The sequence below is a fragment of the Homo sapiens genome, chromosome 10, assembly GCF_000001405.40.
Source record: "Homo sapiens chromosome 10, GRCh38.p14 Primary Assembly".
NCBI classification, from domain to species: Eukaryota; Metazoa; Chordata; class Mammalia; order Primates; family Hominidae; genus Homo; species Homo sapiens.
The window spans coordinates 3,404,766-3,422,387 of record NC_000010.11 but is presented as its reverse complement, the minus strand read 5'-3'; the positions used below and the strand labels follow the sequence as shown (position 1 = coordinate 3,422,387).

At 49.9% G+C, this 17,622-nt stretch overlaps 1 long non-coding RNA gene across 1 annotated transcript in view, besides 1 other annotated feature; it reads right to left on the bottom strand.

The window, feature by feature from the left end:
* LOC105376360 (uncharacterized) overlaps positions 1-17,622 on the bottom strand; it is a 432,070-nt gene that overhangs the window by 328,377 nt on the left and 86,071 nt on the right. The window lies entirely within an intron of this gene.
* Positions 1,670-2,169: an enhancer, noted in NCBI's record as "H3K4me1 hESC enhancer chr10:3462411-3462910 (GRCh37/hg19 assembly coordinates)". NCBI's record gives its function as "activates a minimal SCP1, AML or CMV promoter by ChIP-STARR-seq in naive H9 embryonic stem cells {active_cell/tissue: H9 hESC(naive)}" and the evidence as "EXISTENCE:reporter gene assay evidence [ECO:0000049][PMID:30033119]".

Below are 17,622 nucleotides of genomic sequence, written 5' to 3'. Positions count from 1 at the left end.
CTCGCTGGGATGAAAATCTTTATTTACATTTTCATTTTTGTATTGCCATTTTTCTCTTCCCTCTGCTCTAAAACTTAAAACCCTATCTCAACTGAAGTTAGTGCCTTTTTTAATACAAAATATTTATCCTAATCCTCCTTCGGTCGATTTTGAGGATCATATTAATGCAACAATCAGATAAGAATGGCCCTTATAACACCAAAGCCATCCATTTACTTTCAATTTTAAAGGAAGAAAAAAAAAACCTGACTCATCTGGGGCAGGACTGAGAACCAAGTTACTCCTTTTCACACCTTTTCGTTGTGGATAATAACTGCCCAGCAAGCTTCCGGGCAGGAAGCTGAACAAGAGGAAGCTTGAAGAGTTGGCTTAAGAGCGACTTAGGGGCCACCAGGTAGCTGCCGCCCTTATCCACTGCTGCAGGGGACAGCGGTGGCCACGTCCACAGCCCGGACCCTGGTCCCTTGTGTGCAGACATCATACGTGGGAGGAGGAGGCTGCCTCTGGGTTTTTCACACTTCTGGGCAAAGTCAGGCCCAGTCCCTGGAGTCTGCTGGGGTGGCAAGATGGAGGAGGTTGGGGGCACAGTGTGGCCTCCCTCCATGCCAAGGTGTCCTGATTATACCAAGAGGTGCAAGTGCTATGCTAGCCACGGGGGCTCAGAGCCCAGGGCCCAGGCTAGCCCCTCTCCGGGAGCTGGGCATAGGTATACGGCTCCCTGCTGCTGCAGGCCACGGCCACGCTCTCTGTGAGGGCGCCAGGTGCCACACACTGTTGTCTGCTTTGCCAGCATTTTTTTCCCACTTGCTTTTCCTATCTCTTTCTCCCTAAGCTTAGAAAGGAAAAGGAAGGAAAGGAACCTAATTGGGTGATGTTAGGAGCTAGATCTTGTTCACTCTTTCCATGACCGTCAAGGCAGGAATTATTATTGCACAGATATGTTGCCTACAAGGAGAGAACTAAGGCTCAGAGAGACTGAGGAAGGGCACAAAGCTGCCCAACAGTTCAGTGAAAGAGCTGGGCTTCGGGCTCAGGGCTCAGTCTCTCCGACATCCACGTGGATTTGTTAACAAGTGCGTCTGTCCCGGGAGCACGCCCTGTAGGGCTGCACATTCACACCCTCATGGGCCAGCTGGCGCAGGACACTACAGAATTTTCCAGGCGGCATCTCTGGTCCTTACAGGGCCACAGCCCTGGGACTAAGCATTCACAGTCTTCATCTGAACGCAGCCCTCCCTCTGGGACCCATCATATTCTGGTACTCCAGGCACAGCACTGAGGTCCAGAGCTATTGACACAGCTGAGTGCACACACCTGTCTCAACGACTACCTGCATCCCACCTGCACCCTACCTGAGTCCCTGCTGTGTCCCACCCGCACCATACCTGCGTCCCACCTGCATCCTACCTGCATCCCTCCTGAGTTCTACTTGCGTCCCAGCTGCACCCTACCTGCGTCCCACCTGCATCCCACCTGCGTCCCTACCTGCATCTCACCTGCATTCCCACCTGCGTCCCACCTGGATTCCACTTGCATCCTACCTGTGCCCCACCTACATCCTACCTCTGGCTCTGTGCTGTGCTGCAGGACACCATCCTTGCACAACAGGGTGTGGCCCTGGGACTCCCCTGAGTTTCTCTCCTAGAATGGACACCAGCTATGCCAATCACACTGAACATGCCAATCACACCAATCACACTGACTGCCTGGAGACACCTCTTCCTGGCTCATGCCTGCTAAGAGCTAATTCAAGAGCAAGATTCCATGGTACCTAGAGACCAGCAGTGCCTACTCAAGAGAAGCTCCTGTAGTCCTGACCCACATCGCTCAGTCCCAGATGACAGTGACGAGGAGCTGGGTCCCCTGTCTTGCCGTGGCGCTCTGAGGAGGCCATGTCTTCTGCAGCAGCCACAGCATGATGCCCATCAATGCCCGGAGATTTTGTCTCCTCCTGTGCCATGCAAGGTGGTGCCCATTCAGTACCAAGGTCCTGGCATCCAGCTCCCAGGACTGTGGGCTGCTGAGGCTGATGGCAAGTGCCTCCGTGCAGTGCCTGGGGGTGGCCCTGCAGGGGAGCCCTGCCCAGCTACCACTGGGTCTGGGGGCACAAGCCCCACTCCTCTGCTTCAGTGAGGGCTGCTCTGAAGGGCCCTTCCAGTCCTGAGCCTCCGTGGAAGCTGTCGGGATCCCCTTGTGGGCATTGTCTGCCCTCCACGAGAGCCTCCCCAGAACCTCTGCCTCGGTCTTTTACCAGGAAACCCAACCACAAGAGTTCCCATCAACCTTCACTTGTGTGGTTAACCTCTCAGCCCTTCCTGTCCCTTCCTGTCCCTTCCTCAGCCAGAATAAGCAGCGCAAGCAAAAAGGAGAGAGTGCTGGAGAGGTAGGCAGAGTGGGCTGCGGCATGGAGACCCTCTCACCTTCAGGGGCCCTGCCCAGGTCACCAGCTCCCCCTGAACTCGCGCAGTGAGAAATGCTGACTCAGCACAGGAACGTGGCTATGGGCCACACCCACAGCCCAATTGGATAGGCCAAAATGTAGAAGGGAATAAGGAAATTACGCCTGATGAGTTATCATCCATTTATCTTTATCTATCATCTATCTATTATCTATCTATTATCATTCCAAATCTATCTTTTATTATCTATATCTATTATCTATCCATATCTATCTATTATCTGTATATGTTATCGATCTAAACGATCTATTGTCAATTTAGCCATCATCTACCTAACCTATAACTATTTCATCTATCATCTGTATGTTATCTATTATCTATCGTCTAATTATCTATCATCTATCCTCTGTCTACGCATATACGTACATTCAACAGCATTTTGCATTTATGTAATAGCTATGTTACAAAAATAGAACTATACAAAATATAGTATGAGTTTTGGATTTGATCACAACTTAAGGTCATGAGAACCAACTAAGAATTATTGGCAAAATCTTTGCAAACATAGTATCTCACTTGCTGTTTTGAAAATTATATGGTTGAGGTGATATATATTGTGGATTTCACATAATAAATGTAAAGTTGAACAAACGGTGCTGGTGCCTCTAAGTGGTAGAGCAGGGACCCAAACCCACGTCTGATGGCTCCAAACGCCATTCTCCTTCCACCACACAAGGCCTCGCCTCAGCTGCGCTCTGAATGGACTTGAATTGAATTTACTGGCCGTGCCCAGTTGGGTGGTGTGCAGAATTGAGGAGCAGCCTCGCCAGGGCAGCCCCCATCCAGTTACCCCTTGACGTGGGTTCTGGGGGCACAAAACCAGCCCTGCCTCAGTGGAGCAGCTGTGCAGGGCTTCCCGGACCCCTAGGTGCCCCTGGACATTGCTACCCAACATGTTCCCGCGGACCAGCAGCAAGGGCGGCATCCATGAGCTCCTTACAAATGCAAACTTCAGGCCTCACTCCAGACCCACCGGCTCAGGATCTGCATCTTAACAAGGCATGGCTCAGGCCAAAAATAATTTTAGATCCATTCCTGAAAAAATGCCAAAAAATAGACAAAGCAAAGTATAATAATGATAGTACCAGTTTTTTGAGCATCATTTTGAAGAAGACTGTTTAGTGCAAAAAAAAAAAAAAAAAAAGAAAGAAAAAAGAAAAAAGTCAGAGAAAGGAAATCCACAGTTTTTGCTGAGTTGAAGTGAAACTCTGTTTGACTCTGATTTATGTGCCAGTCATCCTGACCTGCCATACGTTTTGCTTGGCTGGGATGGTGTTCTTGCAGGAGAGACTGCGGAAGTAAATTATTAGCTTTTTAAGTTCTACGGAACAAGAGAGAAAAGATTAAATGGAATGAATACCTGTTGCCTTCATGCCTGAACTATCCATCAAATCTTATCTTGTTTTTTTTACTCTTATCTTGGTTTTTCCTATTAAAGCAAGGGGAATTTTCAACGGCTTCATAAGCTGCTGAAATGGACTGCATAGTCGTCATTAGAAGTGAAGGCCGTGAGAACAACCAGGATTTCAGAAGAAATTCCTTTGCTCAGCTCCTCAGAATCGACACAGATGAAGTTTTAAAAAGCCTGTTATATGTAAACTAGATATTCACCTGGGTGGGGAAGAGGAGAGCGTTTGTCTCGCAATTGTAGTTTTATCATGACATCCCCACTCTGGCTTTCCAATCCCCAGAAACAGAACTGAACAACACTCTTGCGAAAAGTGGCCTTATCATGACAAAATCCATCCCCATGGCCCTGCCAGCTCAAACCATAAACACGGGAGTCGTTCCTAATTCCCTCTTTTTTTCCTTGCCTTCAGTAGTGCAAAGCCATTTGTCTCCACCTCCGAAATCTCTCTCCAGCCCATCTCTTTCCCTTCTGATGCATGGGCTCCCATTTCTCCCTAGACTGCCTTATTTAGCGTTCCTATTAATACATATCAGAGACCTATTTCACAGCCCCACGTACACGCGTGTCTTTTAACCTTATTCTTCACAACTGTTTTTAAAGTCTGTGAGAGAAATTTGATTAGCTACTCCTTTACAAAGTATGAAGAAAATATTTATATCATTAAATATGTAATTATCTTGATTAATAATTTAATAATAAACAATAATTTATAGTTAATACTAATAAATAATTTACAAATATTTACAATTTATAAATAATAAATATTCATTGCTTAATAGTAATATATAATAATTAACTGATAAATTAACAATTTAAATAATTATTTAGATTAACTAGTCACTGTTAATTTGTCTTATATGCTAATCCTAACACATGAGGAATTAATCATTCAGATAATACAAAAATATAATTATTAATATATAACATTAATATAATATTAATATATAATAATATATGATAATAACATTATCTGAGTGATTAACCAATTCCCTGTATGTGTTAGGATTTGCATATAAGACACACCTGCCCTTTTAAGAAATCTGTATGTTGCAGGAACATGACTTACTCTAATGAAGCAAAAAGATTCTAATAGAAGACACTGAGAAATGAGTGTCAGGGTTCACAGAGGTTAAAAAGAAGTGTCTTGGTAGGTCCATGAGAGCTTCCCGCTACAGCGCTGGACTCCAGCGCGATGGGGATTTTGGAGTCTCCCTGCATCCGACAGCTTTCAGGAAGCTGCACAGCAGGAAAAGTAGAGCCCTTACCCCTGCAGGGCCTGGAGTCTGGGTTCTGAGGCAGCTTCTGTTTCTTTAGTTTGTAGGTTCCGAGGAATCAGCCGTCCACCCTCCAAAAGGTCCTAGGCCAGAACACGGGAACGTCTGAATAGGTCTCTGATATTTATTAATAGGAATTCTGGAGGTAGCTGTCTGCTGGAGTCAGTTGGTGTTACTGTCTGTATTCATATATAATAATATAACATTCCAAAAGCTTGTGCCCCCACCTCTGTGCCCTGCACCCTCCCACCCCCTTCCCTTATCCCTCATCCCATAAAGAGAGAGGAAGCAGGTGGAGAACTGACCGGAGTCAGAGGCCAAATGTATCCAACAGCCCTGGGGAGTCACGTTCTGTTTAATTTTGCAATATTCCCAAAGTCGTAAGGACTGAATCTTGGTATTGCTTTTCCCACCTTCTTTGGATTCACTCCGGCCCCATTTCTCTTTCTTACTGAGAAAATATCCTTGGATGTTCCAGAGGATAATGTATTTCTCGGAAAAGCAGACCTGTCTTTAGGAGGGGGTTGATTACAATCGTAAAAGGGATTCTCACCTGTTTCCTCTGCCCTCTCTTACGGTCACTTGGCAGAATCAGAAAACAGTCTTGAAAGGTCTGTCATTTGCTCTGCATCAGGAACTGACCAATCCAACCCCAACCAGCCCAACTTAAGCTATTGAAATGGGAAGATTTAGGAGACGGTATCAATATTCTTATTTGAGCCAACTCCTTTTGCTGTGGGTCAGGATACAATGTCACAGCACTCGATTCGGCTTCTAGACCAGTGGAACATGTCCTCCATGGCTCCCAACTCCCACGGCCAGGTCCTGTTCCCACTGTGGCTTGGGAGAACATGCCAGAAGCACAGCCCACATGGGCCTCCACCACCCAGCAAACCGGGACAAGCTTGGCTGTAGACTCAGGTCTTCTTAAACCCCTGCTCTTCCTTACTTAGACTTCAGAAGATAGGAAATGGCTTTGTAACAGCCACCAAGAGCCACAGCGCCACATGGAATGGAACCTTCTTCTCTGGTTAAAGGAGAAAAAGAGAAGCCTTTTGCTCTGGCCAGCCAGGAGGGACCGGGTTTGCTGATGCCCGGCATTTCTCAGAGCAATGCACCCCGGGGGCCTCAGCCCCACTAAGAAGCCACCTCCATCGAGCCATGGCCTCAGCGTGGGCCCTGGAGATGCCGGCCCCCATCCCCCATGGATCCTCAAGGGGAAGCTCCAAGCGAGAGCCCATAGAGAGGTGGAGCCTCCGTCCATCTCGGGGTTTTCCAGACCTTCGTGATGAATCAAACCACTTTTTCAAATGTGATTTTACCCCAAACGCCAATGTGTAAAAGCAGATAAACACAGAAAGCCATTGTAAAAGTCAAGAGAAGGAGAAGGGCTGTAGGGGGCTGATCGTTGCTTCCAAATTCATCTGTTGCAGCCTGGACCCTTGGTTCCCCAGAATGTGACTGCACCTAAAGAGGTAATTAAGGTCAAAGGAGGCCGACAGGGTGGGCCCTAATCCAACCTTCCTGGAGTCCAAGAATAGGAAATTAGGACACAGACACAGAACGAGGGATGGCCCTGAGGGCTGGGGGAGAGGACACCATCCGCAAGCCACAGGGAGAAGCCGCAGGAGAAACCGGCCCTATGAACAGCTTGATGCCAACTCCCAGCCTTGAGGACCTTGAGACAACCAACACCCGCTGTTTACGCCGCCCGTCTATGGTGCTTTGTTACAGGGGCTTGTTGACGCGAGGCTGTGCCTGTTCTCCTGACAGCCCCTGCTCTCCCCAGACTCTATCCAGGCACCTGACACTCCTTGGAATGCTAGTGTTTGAAACCCACTGATCTAATTCCATCCTCTCATTGTGGAATCCCATTGTGGAGTGTGAGTCCATTCGGTGCTCCCAGCCCAGGGCAAAAAGGACAAGGGTCGTGACAGCCACACTGGCTTCCTGTCCTTCGCACAGCAGTCCAGCAGGATGGCCCGGCTGGGTCCGGGCACACTCGTCCCTGCCAGCTCCTGGGTTCTGTGCTATTAGAGACACAGCCGGGAGCCTCTGGCCCACTCCGCCCCGCCCGTATCAGACATGCTCCTGGGAAGGTGTATCTGAAACCCCATTTGCAGTTCATATCACACCACCTTTGTTACGTGATGCTTAAATCACTTTCTTTTTCTAACTCACAATTAAACTCAGGTGCTTATCTCACCAGATGATTCTAATGACTAATCCTCAAACACATGGAGTGATCTAAATTTTTCTTTTCTCAGACAGGCACAGAGGACAGAGGACATGCTCTCCTGGTGTGAAAAGCTCTGTCGCTCTCTGCCTCGGCTGACACGGGCCGCAGGAAGAGCCTGTTCAGAAGAAGGGAGGAATCGCATGGAGGGATGATTTGACCTTGGCCAGCTGGCTGCTCCGTCGCGACTTCTTTCATGGAAACAGCATCAGGAATTCGATAAGAGAGATAAAGGAGCAGTGAGCTTCCTGCGGCCACAAAGGCAGTTTTCAGAAAGCAGGTTTTAACAACAATGCCACTGGGGTCTCCATGCTGGGAAGAAAAGGAAGGAGAAACAGAGATGTTGCCTGTCCGTCTGGGGCCTTGGGAAGCTGGAATTCCAAATCTAGCCCTGCCATTTAAGTGGAAATCACCCACTCAGCCTTCACGCCCAACTCTAGGGTCTCAGTCTGCTCGAGGCTTCATAACAAATGCCGCAGATGGGTGGCTTAAGCCACAGACATGATCCTCTCCCTTCTCGGGGGCTGGACGTCCGAGATCCAGCTGTCCACAGGGCTGGTTCCTCCAGAGGCCTCCCTTCCTGGCTAGTGGATGACGTCTTCTCCCTATGTCCTCAGTCAGTTGTCCCTTTGCGTGCCTCTCTATGCCTTAACCTCCTCTTCTCATAGGATGCCAGTCAGATCAAATTAGGGCCACTCCAACGGCTTCATTTCAACTCAGTTGCTTTTGTAGTGACCCTGTCTCCAAGTCCGGCCACATCCTGGGGCATGAGAGTTAGGATTTCAGCGCATGAGTCTTGGCCAACCCACCTCAGCCCATGACACCAAGCCCCTGACGCGGTGCCCACCCTCACACATTCCTCCCAGAGCCCCTGTTTCACGAGTGCTCACATTGCAGGCACCCGACTGGAGGAGACGCTCTCACCCATGCGCTGCCAGTCTCTCCTTCCTGAGCCTTACCCGGAACAGATCCTGACCTCTGTTTTTTGTTGTCGTTGTTGTTGTTGTCGTTGCTGTTGTTTTGAGACGGAGTCTTGCTCTTGTTGCCCTAGCTGGAGTGCAATGGCGTGACATCGGCTCACCTCAACCTCTGCCTCCCAGGTTCAAGCCATTCTCCTGCCTCAGCCTCCCAAGTAGCTGGGATTACAGGCATGCACCTCATGCCCGGCTAATTTTGTGTTTTTAGTAGTGGTGGGGTTTCTCCATGTTAGTCAGGCTGGTCTCGAACTCATGACCTCAGGTGATCCACCCACCTCGGCCTGCCAAAGTGCTGGGATTACAGGCGTGAGCGACCGCCCCAGCCTCTGTTTCTTCCTTATGGGCCTGGCATGGAGCAGCTGGGGGCCTTTCTGATTGATGCCTTCAGGTCCACCCCGAGACCCTCAGTAGGTCCAGCACACTAAAGTCTGGTGGATCTGTGCACTGAGCACAAACCTTATTGATTTATTCGTTTATTTCTTTTTGAGACAGGGTCTCACTCTGTCACCCAGGCTGGAGTGCAGTGGCGCAATGAGAGCTCATGGTAACCTTCAACCCCTGGGCTCAAGCAATCCTCTCACCTCAGCCTCCCACATAGCTGGGACTACAGGCATGCACCACCACACCTGGCTAATTTTGGTATTTTTTGTAGAGATGGGGGACCCACTATGCTTCCAAAGTTGGTCTTGGACTCCTGGCCTCAAGTGATGCTCCCGCCTCGGCCTCCCAAAGTGTTGGGATTATGGGCGTGAGCCACCGTGACTGGCCCTACAACCCTTATTTGTAAATCTTTCAATGAGGTGTTAAGAAGGCTCGGAAACACACAGTGTCTGTGGGGTCCTCCAGGAATCAGACGCTGAGATGGAATCGGACTTGCAGGAGATTGGTTGGGACGTACCCGTTGTGGGTAAAGGTGAGGTGAAGCCAGAGGCTAGAGGGCTTCAGGCCACGGTGCAGGCCAGACACCTGTAGATGGAGAAAAGGAAGCAGAGAGATGGCAGGAAAAGCCGAGGACGGACGGAGGCCCCACAGCCCAGCTGATGGGGAGCTCCGGAGGAGAGACTGCCCGTTAGGGGACCCCAGGCTGGGGGCAGAGGCCGGCCATCCACGTCCGTGACATGCGGCCCTGGTCAGGATGTGGGTGGCAGAGTGGGCCCAGGAATGGAAGACGCATCAGATCTCAAGGGTGGGGCGGCTGAACTCTGTCCTGTCAGAAGCTGCTCTCACGGGGGGCTCTCAGCGGTCACCCCCACGGCAGCCACACCACCTCGGCAGACAGGAATCACCAGGGGTGGGACCAGCAGAATTCCCCCAGCTGGGCCCCACGGGGCTGGGGACTCTAATGTGTGGAGTCATGTGTGTGAATTGTGAGTGGGAAAGTGAGACCGTGCAGGGAAAAACCCACTGTCCTTGTCCCCACCTGAGAAAAGGGAGCAGAGAGGCAGGTTGTCCCCACCTGAGAAAAGGGAGCAGAGAGGCAGGTTGTCCCCACCTGAGAAAAGGGAGCAGAGAGGCAGGTTGTCCCCACCTGAGAAAAGGGAGCAGAGAGGCAGGCAGCAGGGAAGCCAGTTAGGGTTAATGAGCTGGGCCCCTCTAGCAGATGGTTTGGGCAAGCGCTTCAGGACAGTCCCACTGACTGGCCAGGATCAGGGAGGTTTTTCTCACCTGTGCCTGCCTCTCCTTGGTTGAGGGCTGCCTGTGCTTGATGAGCAAAAAGTCCAAGCACAGACAGAGTTGTGTGTGGTCCTTGGACGGACCAGGGTGCAGTGGTGCAGCCCACGGTGGGTGTGTAGCTGCCCAAATCCATCCACACCCACCTCAGTTGGCTCTGCCATGTTGCTGACCCTTCAAGGAGGTGGCCTCTGGTAATCACCAAACCCAGTAAAAGACAGCAGGAGAGTGAGGGGGGCAGGGGACAGTGGCTGCTGCAGCCGTTGGTCCGAGGGTAGCATGCAATAAATAGCATTCACCCACCTCCCTCCTCTCCTCCTGACATTCCAGGGTGCATCCAGCCGACGGCTTCTGTGCCACCAAGACAAAGGGAGGCTGGCAGGTGACTGGTGTGGGCCCCTTGTCGCATCTCCATCTCCATAAAGTGGTCCTAGGCCATGTGGGTAAATCACACAGTGTGGGCCCTCAGAAAATGATGTGCACCAGATTTGAGCCAGAGAAGAAACGCAGTCCTCAACAGGCGTCAACCTGGGAGGACGCAGCCCTTCTCTCTCCTCTTCCCAGACCACATAGCTGAGCCTTCACCAGGCTCTGGGAGTCCAAACATGTCTTTGCCTCCAGCCACAGAGCTGATGACTGAGTGTCCAGGGGGAAGCATAGCCACTGTGCAAGATGCTTCTCTGGATGCCGTCTTTCTGGGGTTCCCTGACATATTGAATGGAACTGAGGTTGATGGCAGTGCATTTTTGTCTTGCGTACAAATGCCAGAAACTCTTTCAGTAAAGAGGCCACACTAGGCAACTATGATTGAAACGATCACTTGGTTGAATTTGCAGCAGCCACTGTTATCTGCAGTCATCCACCTGGTTCTGAGAGGGGCTGGGCCAGTGACTACATTGAGGGTGCTATGGGAACCCCCCTCCTCGTCTGCTTAAGTCTTTCAAGGCAGTAGTGATCTTCCCTGTAGTGATCTCATCTCTCCTGTTGTGATCTCTCCTCGGTTGTGATCTCTCCTGTTGTGATCTCTCCCATTGTGATCTCTCCCATAGTGATCTCTCCCATAGTGATCTCTCCCACAGTGATCTCTCCTGTTGTGATCTCTCCTGTTGTGATCTCTCCCGTTGTGATCTCTCCTGTAGTGATCTCTCCTGTTGTGATCTCTCCCATTGTGATCTCTCCCTTAGTGATCTCTCCTGTTGAGCTCTCTCCTGTTGCACTCCAAGTGCATTCTTGCTTCTGATTTACTGTGGTGACTAGAAGGGGAATGTCTTAGTCTGTTCAGGTGGCTATAACAAAATCCCATAGATTGCATGTCTTATAAACAATAGAAATTTGTTTTTCACAGTTCTAGAGGCTGGGAAGTCCAAGATCAAGATGGAAGTCTAAGACAGGTTGACCTCTGTCAAGGACAGTATTCCTTCTCTGGCTGGAATCTGGTGTCCACATCATTTTCTGAGGGCTCAGAGTAGGTGTGACTTACCCACATTGACCAAGATGACTTTATGGACATGGAGGTGCCAGCAGATTTGGTGTCTGGTGAGGATCCACCTCCTGGTTCATAAATGGTGCCTTCACACTGTGTCCTTGCATGGTGGAAGGAGGTGAGGCCTCTTTTCTTTTCTTTTCTTTGAGATGGAGTCTCACTCTGTCACCCAGGCTGGAGTGCAGTGGTGCGATCTCAGCTCACTGCAAGCTCCACCTCCTGGGTTCATACCATTCTCCTGACTCAGCCTCCCGAGTAGCTGGGACTACAGGTGCCCACCACCACACCCAGCTAATTTTTTGTATTTTTAGTAGAGACAGGGTTTCGCCGTGTTAGCCAGGATGGTCTCGATCTCCTGACCTTGTGATCTGCCCATCTCAGCCTCCTAAAGTGCTGGGATTACAGGCGTGAGCCACGGTGCCCGGCCTGAGGCCTCTTTTCTAAGGGCACTAATTTATCATGAGGGCTGTGCCCCATGACCTAATCATCTCCCAGAGACCCTACCTCCTAACTCCATCACCTGGAGGGCTTGGTTTCAACAGATGAGTCTTGTGAAAGCAGGAACACTCAGACCACAGCAGGGGACATCCACTTGGCCTTCCTTACCTTAGTGACTAACATAACATCTAACAAGACAGCTCCAAAGGCAAGAAGTGGCGCCCCTGAGGCTGAGGACCAGGGACCCACCAGGGAAGCTGGGGCCACAGAGCAGATGGGGCCACAGCCAGAGACAACCTGAAGCAGAGGTGGAGGGGGCCTGCCTGCCTCCTGCGGACCAGCCAGCCCTACAGCACTGCTCTCATGCGCTGATCCCTGTCCAGGACCCAATAGCCTAGGAAGCACAGCCTGCAGGGTCAGCCCCAGGATTTAGAGCAGAGCAAGAGGAGGAGGAGGAAGAACTCCTTCCTCCAAAGATGCCCAGAAGGGAGATGCCCGACACCAGTAAAAATAACAGGAGCTTCTGTTTGCTCCACTCTGCAGCAGGCCCTGTGCTCTGTGTGTGCCTGTGTTGTGCACAAATGTGTGTCTGTGTGTGCACAGGTGTGCACAGGGGTGTGTGTATGTGTGTGGTTTCATCTCCTTGTCACAGTCACTAAAGACAAATGAAGAGGCTTAAGCTTGGGCTGGTTTTGTAAGTTGCCAAGCGTAGCTTGCACATGGCAGAACCAGCACCCCACACTCTTGCAGGGCAGACCAAGACCAAGAGGCTGCCAGGTTTTCTAGCAACGTCAGCAACAGTGAGAAACAACTGAACAGGTCCTCTTCCCTTAGGTTTTGGTAGCAGCATCAGTTAATGGTGTCTTGGAAGGACCTTTTGTCTATTATTGCAGTCCAGCTTTTTTTTTTGCCTCATTTGGGATTCAACTATTTTGCTTTATTTAAAGAAAGAGCTCAGGCTGGGGAAGAGACAGGTAGCATGAAGCTCCGGCAATGCAGCGACCCAGCACGGCACTGAACTCCAGTCCTGCACGCCTCACTGGGCCTTCTCTCCATCTACAAGAAGGAACAGAGGGTTCACTGGAAGCCAAGGTCACAGACAGTAAGGGCAGGCCTCAGAATTAAATCTCTAGCCTGGAATACACGATGCCAGGGCTGCCAGCTCCCGGCACCACCGGCCTTTGCAATGCTGAGGGGCCGATTGATATCAGGCTGATAGAACAAGCTCAGCCTGTGTCTGGGAGCTTCCACTCGGGCTGTGCTCCCTCAAATGCACAAGCCCAAAAATGAGGAAGTGAGGTTAACCATTCACTTAGATTTCACCTGGGAGGTCGGCTAACACAACATGTTCATAATGATTCCCAGCCTGAACTCTGAGAGCAAACTTGCCTCCTCCTCCTCCTCCTTCTCTTCCTCCTCCTCCTCCTCCTCATCTTCCTTCTCCTCCTCCTCCTCCCTCCACCTCCCTCCTCCTCCTCTTTCTTCCTCCTCTCTCCTTTCTTCCTCCTCCCTCCTCCTCCTCCCTCCTCCTCTTTCCTCCTCCTCTCTCCTCCTCTTTCTTCCTCCTCCCTCCTCCTCCTCCTCATCCTCCTCCTTCTCTTCCTCCTCCTCCTCCTCATCTTCCTTCTCCTCCTCCTCCTCCCTCCACCTCCCTCCTCCTCCCTCCTCCTCCTCTTTCCTCCTCCTCTCTCCTCTTCTTTCTTCCTCCTCCCTCCTCCTCCTCCTCATCCTCCTCCTCCTCCTTCTCCTCCTTCTCCTCCTCCTCCTCTTCCTCCTCTTCCTCCATGTGGCTGGGAGTGACCTCATCACAGTGATTATCTTGTCACCATCTGAAATGTGGGTATGACCTCTGAGAAGCTCAGGGCTTGGCTGTAGGTGGGGAGATTAAGGGGGCCTGAACCCAATCCCCTGTTTCTTCTGCTGGGGAGAGCGTCCCAGCCTGTGATGGGGGTTTTGGGGTAAAGTACTACCAATAGATGCCCAAGAAACCTTAGGGAGAGTCAAGGGGCCTCAGGGACCCCACAGGACCCCCTGCAAGGCCCAGGGAGAGTTGAGGGGCCTCGGGGAACCCACAGAACCCCCTGCAAGACCCAGGGAGAGTTGAGGGGCCTCGGGAACCCCACAGGACCCCCTGCAAGGCCCAGGGAGAGCCAAGGGGACTTGGGGACCCCACAGGACCCACTGCAAGGCCCAGGCTCCCCAGCCAGGCCCCCACACCCCTGCATCCTCTGCTCCTGAGGGTCCACCAGCAGCAGATGGTTGATGATGGTCGCAGTCTGTCCCCCTCTTACCTCCTCCTGCTCCAGGACAGGATATTTGTCCCAGACATTACCATTCACAAGACATTTTCAAACTCAGGATCCCCCGAGAAGAAATATCACACTCCTTATTGCAGGAAAGAAACCAACCCAGGGGCCCAGGAAGTGTGAATGACCTGCTCCCTTGCTCAGAGCTCTCACACCTGCTTTTGTTTGTTTGTTCCCATCTTCATCCTCCCCAAGAGCTGCTCAGTGGACCACACTCTGTGGGGTCTGTCATCCCCCTGACCACACACCTGCTCCTATGCCAAGAACCAGGGATCCTCCCTGATTTCTTACAGGAGTCTCGGAATTGCTGGTGCTGGTGCAGGTGCAGATTTACACCATCAACGAAAGCACAACCATGGGGAAATCAGAGTCCAGGTCAAGGTGAGAAGCACCTTCTAAGCATTTACTAGATAAATGCCTGATCATTCCTCAGTGAGAAATATGAAAAGCAACCACAATTCATCTTAAAGCAGGTGGACATGCATTATCTTTATATTGCTGGCATTCACATTGAGATTTCCTTATGAAAACTATAACCTTTCTTCTTCTATGTAAAACAGCAATGCTGGCTTACAGTGGTTCTGGAAGGAAGGCCTCTTTACTTGGAGGTACCCCAGCTGGTGAGTCGCACTGCTCATTCTGACAGCTTCCTTTTCCACCCCAGCGAGGAGGGCGTGTGCAATGTCGTCCACTCACAGGTCAGCCTGGGAGGGCAGCCGGCTTGTCCTCAGGAAGGCCAGTGTGCTCAGAACAGAGATGGCCATTCCCCGCACTGCTCCCGCCAGGTTCTGTGAGGCCAGGCGCATTCTGACGACAGCCCACGCCCATCAGATGCCTCCTCTGTGGAGTCACAGATGGAAATCCTTTCTATCCCTGGGAGCTCTGTAAGTCTCGCCGATGATCCCTGCACAGGTGCTTGGGTTGGATCTGGATCTGGATCTGAGCAGGTGTCCGATGATCCATACACAGGTGCAGGGTTACCTGTATCTGAGCAGGTGTTCTCTGGAGGAACGGGTGCCAGGGAAACTACTTCTGCTGACTGCAGTGAACCGACTCCATCCTTGGGTGCCAGGGAAACTACTTCTGCTGACTGCAGTGAACCGACTCCATCCTTGGGTGCCAGGAGGACTCCAGCTCAAACCCTGTGGTTCTCCCGTGCAGTGAAATCCCTAAGGACACAAGAGATCGGGTCTCCCATAACGCACATCCCTGGTGCAAACCCTGCAAAAGCCACGCCGTCAGCACCTCGCAGAATGAACATTTATTATTTCTGTCCATCTTTGGAACCGCTGGTGCCTGGAAACCAGCTGATCACATGGTGGTAACTTCCGGTTGTTGAAGTGCCACGGCAGCTTTGATTTTCACGCAGCTGGTGCTGGGCCAGCCTCACAATGCAAGGCCCTGTGTTCCAGCTGACAATGAAGAAAGTGTCCTCGGGAGGGAAGAGGAGTCCCAGAGATCCAGACAAGAATTCCAGCTCCCTCGGCCACGGGCTTTCTCACCCTGGGCGCACTGATTCTGCTAAGCCTCCGTATCTTTATCGTAGAACAGTAATTATAACGCCACTTCATAGTGTGCCAGTAAACATGCAAATAAATGGTGCGATGTGTGCAAAACCTTTAGCATGTGCTTGACAAATTGGTCATATATGATAGTTGAGGGGAAAAATAAGTAATATGCTTTCCTCACCCACCCCTGGGTTCATGACTGAGATCCTATAACAAAATAGGGATTAACAAAAGAAAAGCATAATGAATTTATTTAATAGAAGTTTTATTTTACATGAGAACCTTCAGAAATGAAGACCCAAAGACACAGAGAAAACTGTATTTTTATGGGAGTCGTGCTGAAGTGTGATTGGAGGAAAAGGGTGTGATCTGAAGGTGATACGCTCGGGAAATGAACAAGGCCTCTCGGCTCAGAACCTTCCTGGCCTGTCTGTGTGCAGCTCCTCTCCAGGTTTCAGAGGCATACGAGGGGCTGATATCTGGAATGACAGTCTTATTTTCAGGGAAAGTAGGTCAGAAAACTCTTTTCTGGCCAGCTCACAGGGGAGAAAGGTAGAAAAAGGCCAGAGAGGAACCTTCTGGCTTCTGCAGTTTTCTCATTTCCCAAGATGTCCTATTTTGGGATAGCATTTCCTGCACCCCAGCAATAGAATCCAAAGCACAAACAATTCAGAAATTCAACTGTCATCTAGTGTCATAGAATGGTCTATAAAACCACATGCATTATCATAACCCATCATTTGTTTTTGTGTCTCAAATTACAGGCTCTTACAGGCAGAAGCACCGTCTCGAACTTAAAACAGAAACATCCCATCATCCTTGAATTACAGAGCAGCTAGCTCAGCCCCCTTTCTAATATTTTAATCTGTTTTAAACAAGAATCAAGGTTACGTCCTACATCAATTCATCTCAACAGCTTTGTTGTCTGCATTTGTAATTTTGAAATCAGTTATTTCAAAACATTTTCAGAAAAAAGCAGGAGATAAATACACACATCCATACATCCATATCTGTGAGCACACACACATAATCACTGCATGAGACCCATAGATATTCACTTTATTCTAAATTCTGTTTAGAATAGTAGTCACATTGGAAGTGAGCAAATTGCCATGAATAAGAAGGATCTTCCTCACTGTGCTAGTTTTCTAAACCAGGAGTCAGTGCTGGAATGAAAAGGATGCTGGCCGCAGAGTGAGCCTGCTCAGGCCTTGGTTCCACTCCGCCTCCACTTTTTGGTTGGTTGTTAAACATCAGTTTACTTCCCTGAGTCTAAGTTTCTTCATCCCAAACATGGGAAGAAAAAAACTCCCCTTTCCAAACCACGATGGTGTTGTTAGGGTGAAATAAAGTAATATGCACCAAAGTACTTTGAAAATATAAAAAGATACAAATATAAGGTGTTTTTAAGTATATTTGTATACTACAGGTATAAAGTATTGAGATAAAATATATTTTTAATATTATAAACAATAAGCAAAGATCAGGACTTGAATTTCTTGGCACTCTCTCTTTCGTTACCATACGACAAATGGCGTTAGTTCAAGAACTAACTTTCCTAAGGAAGTACTATACGTGGCTATTACTTTAATAACTTTTCCTCAGAGCATCATAAACCGCCACCTTCAGAAATGCCTAAAACGAATGTACTCAGCGGCTTCAGACTGACATGGCCTGAGGTAACTTGTAAAGCCTTCCATTTCCAAGCTCCCTCATTAAAACAATTCACAACGTATTCAACAACGTCCTGAGTGCTTCCTTCTCTGTGTGCTGAGAAAAGTGGGGGAGGGAAGCAGCGTTGATTAAATCTCACTTGGTCCCGGCCACCATTCTGTGCATGTTACATGTGTGCCGTGCAT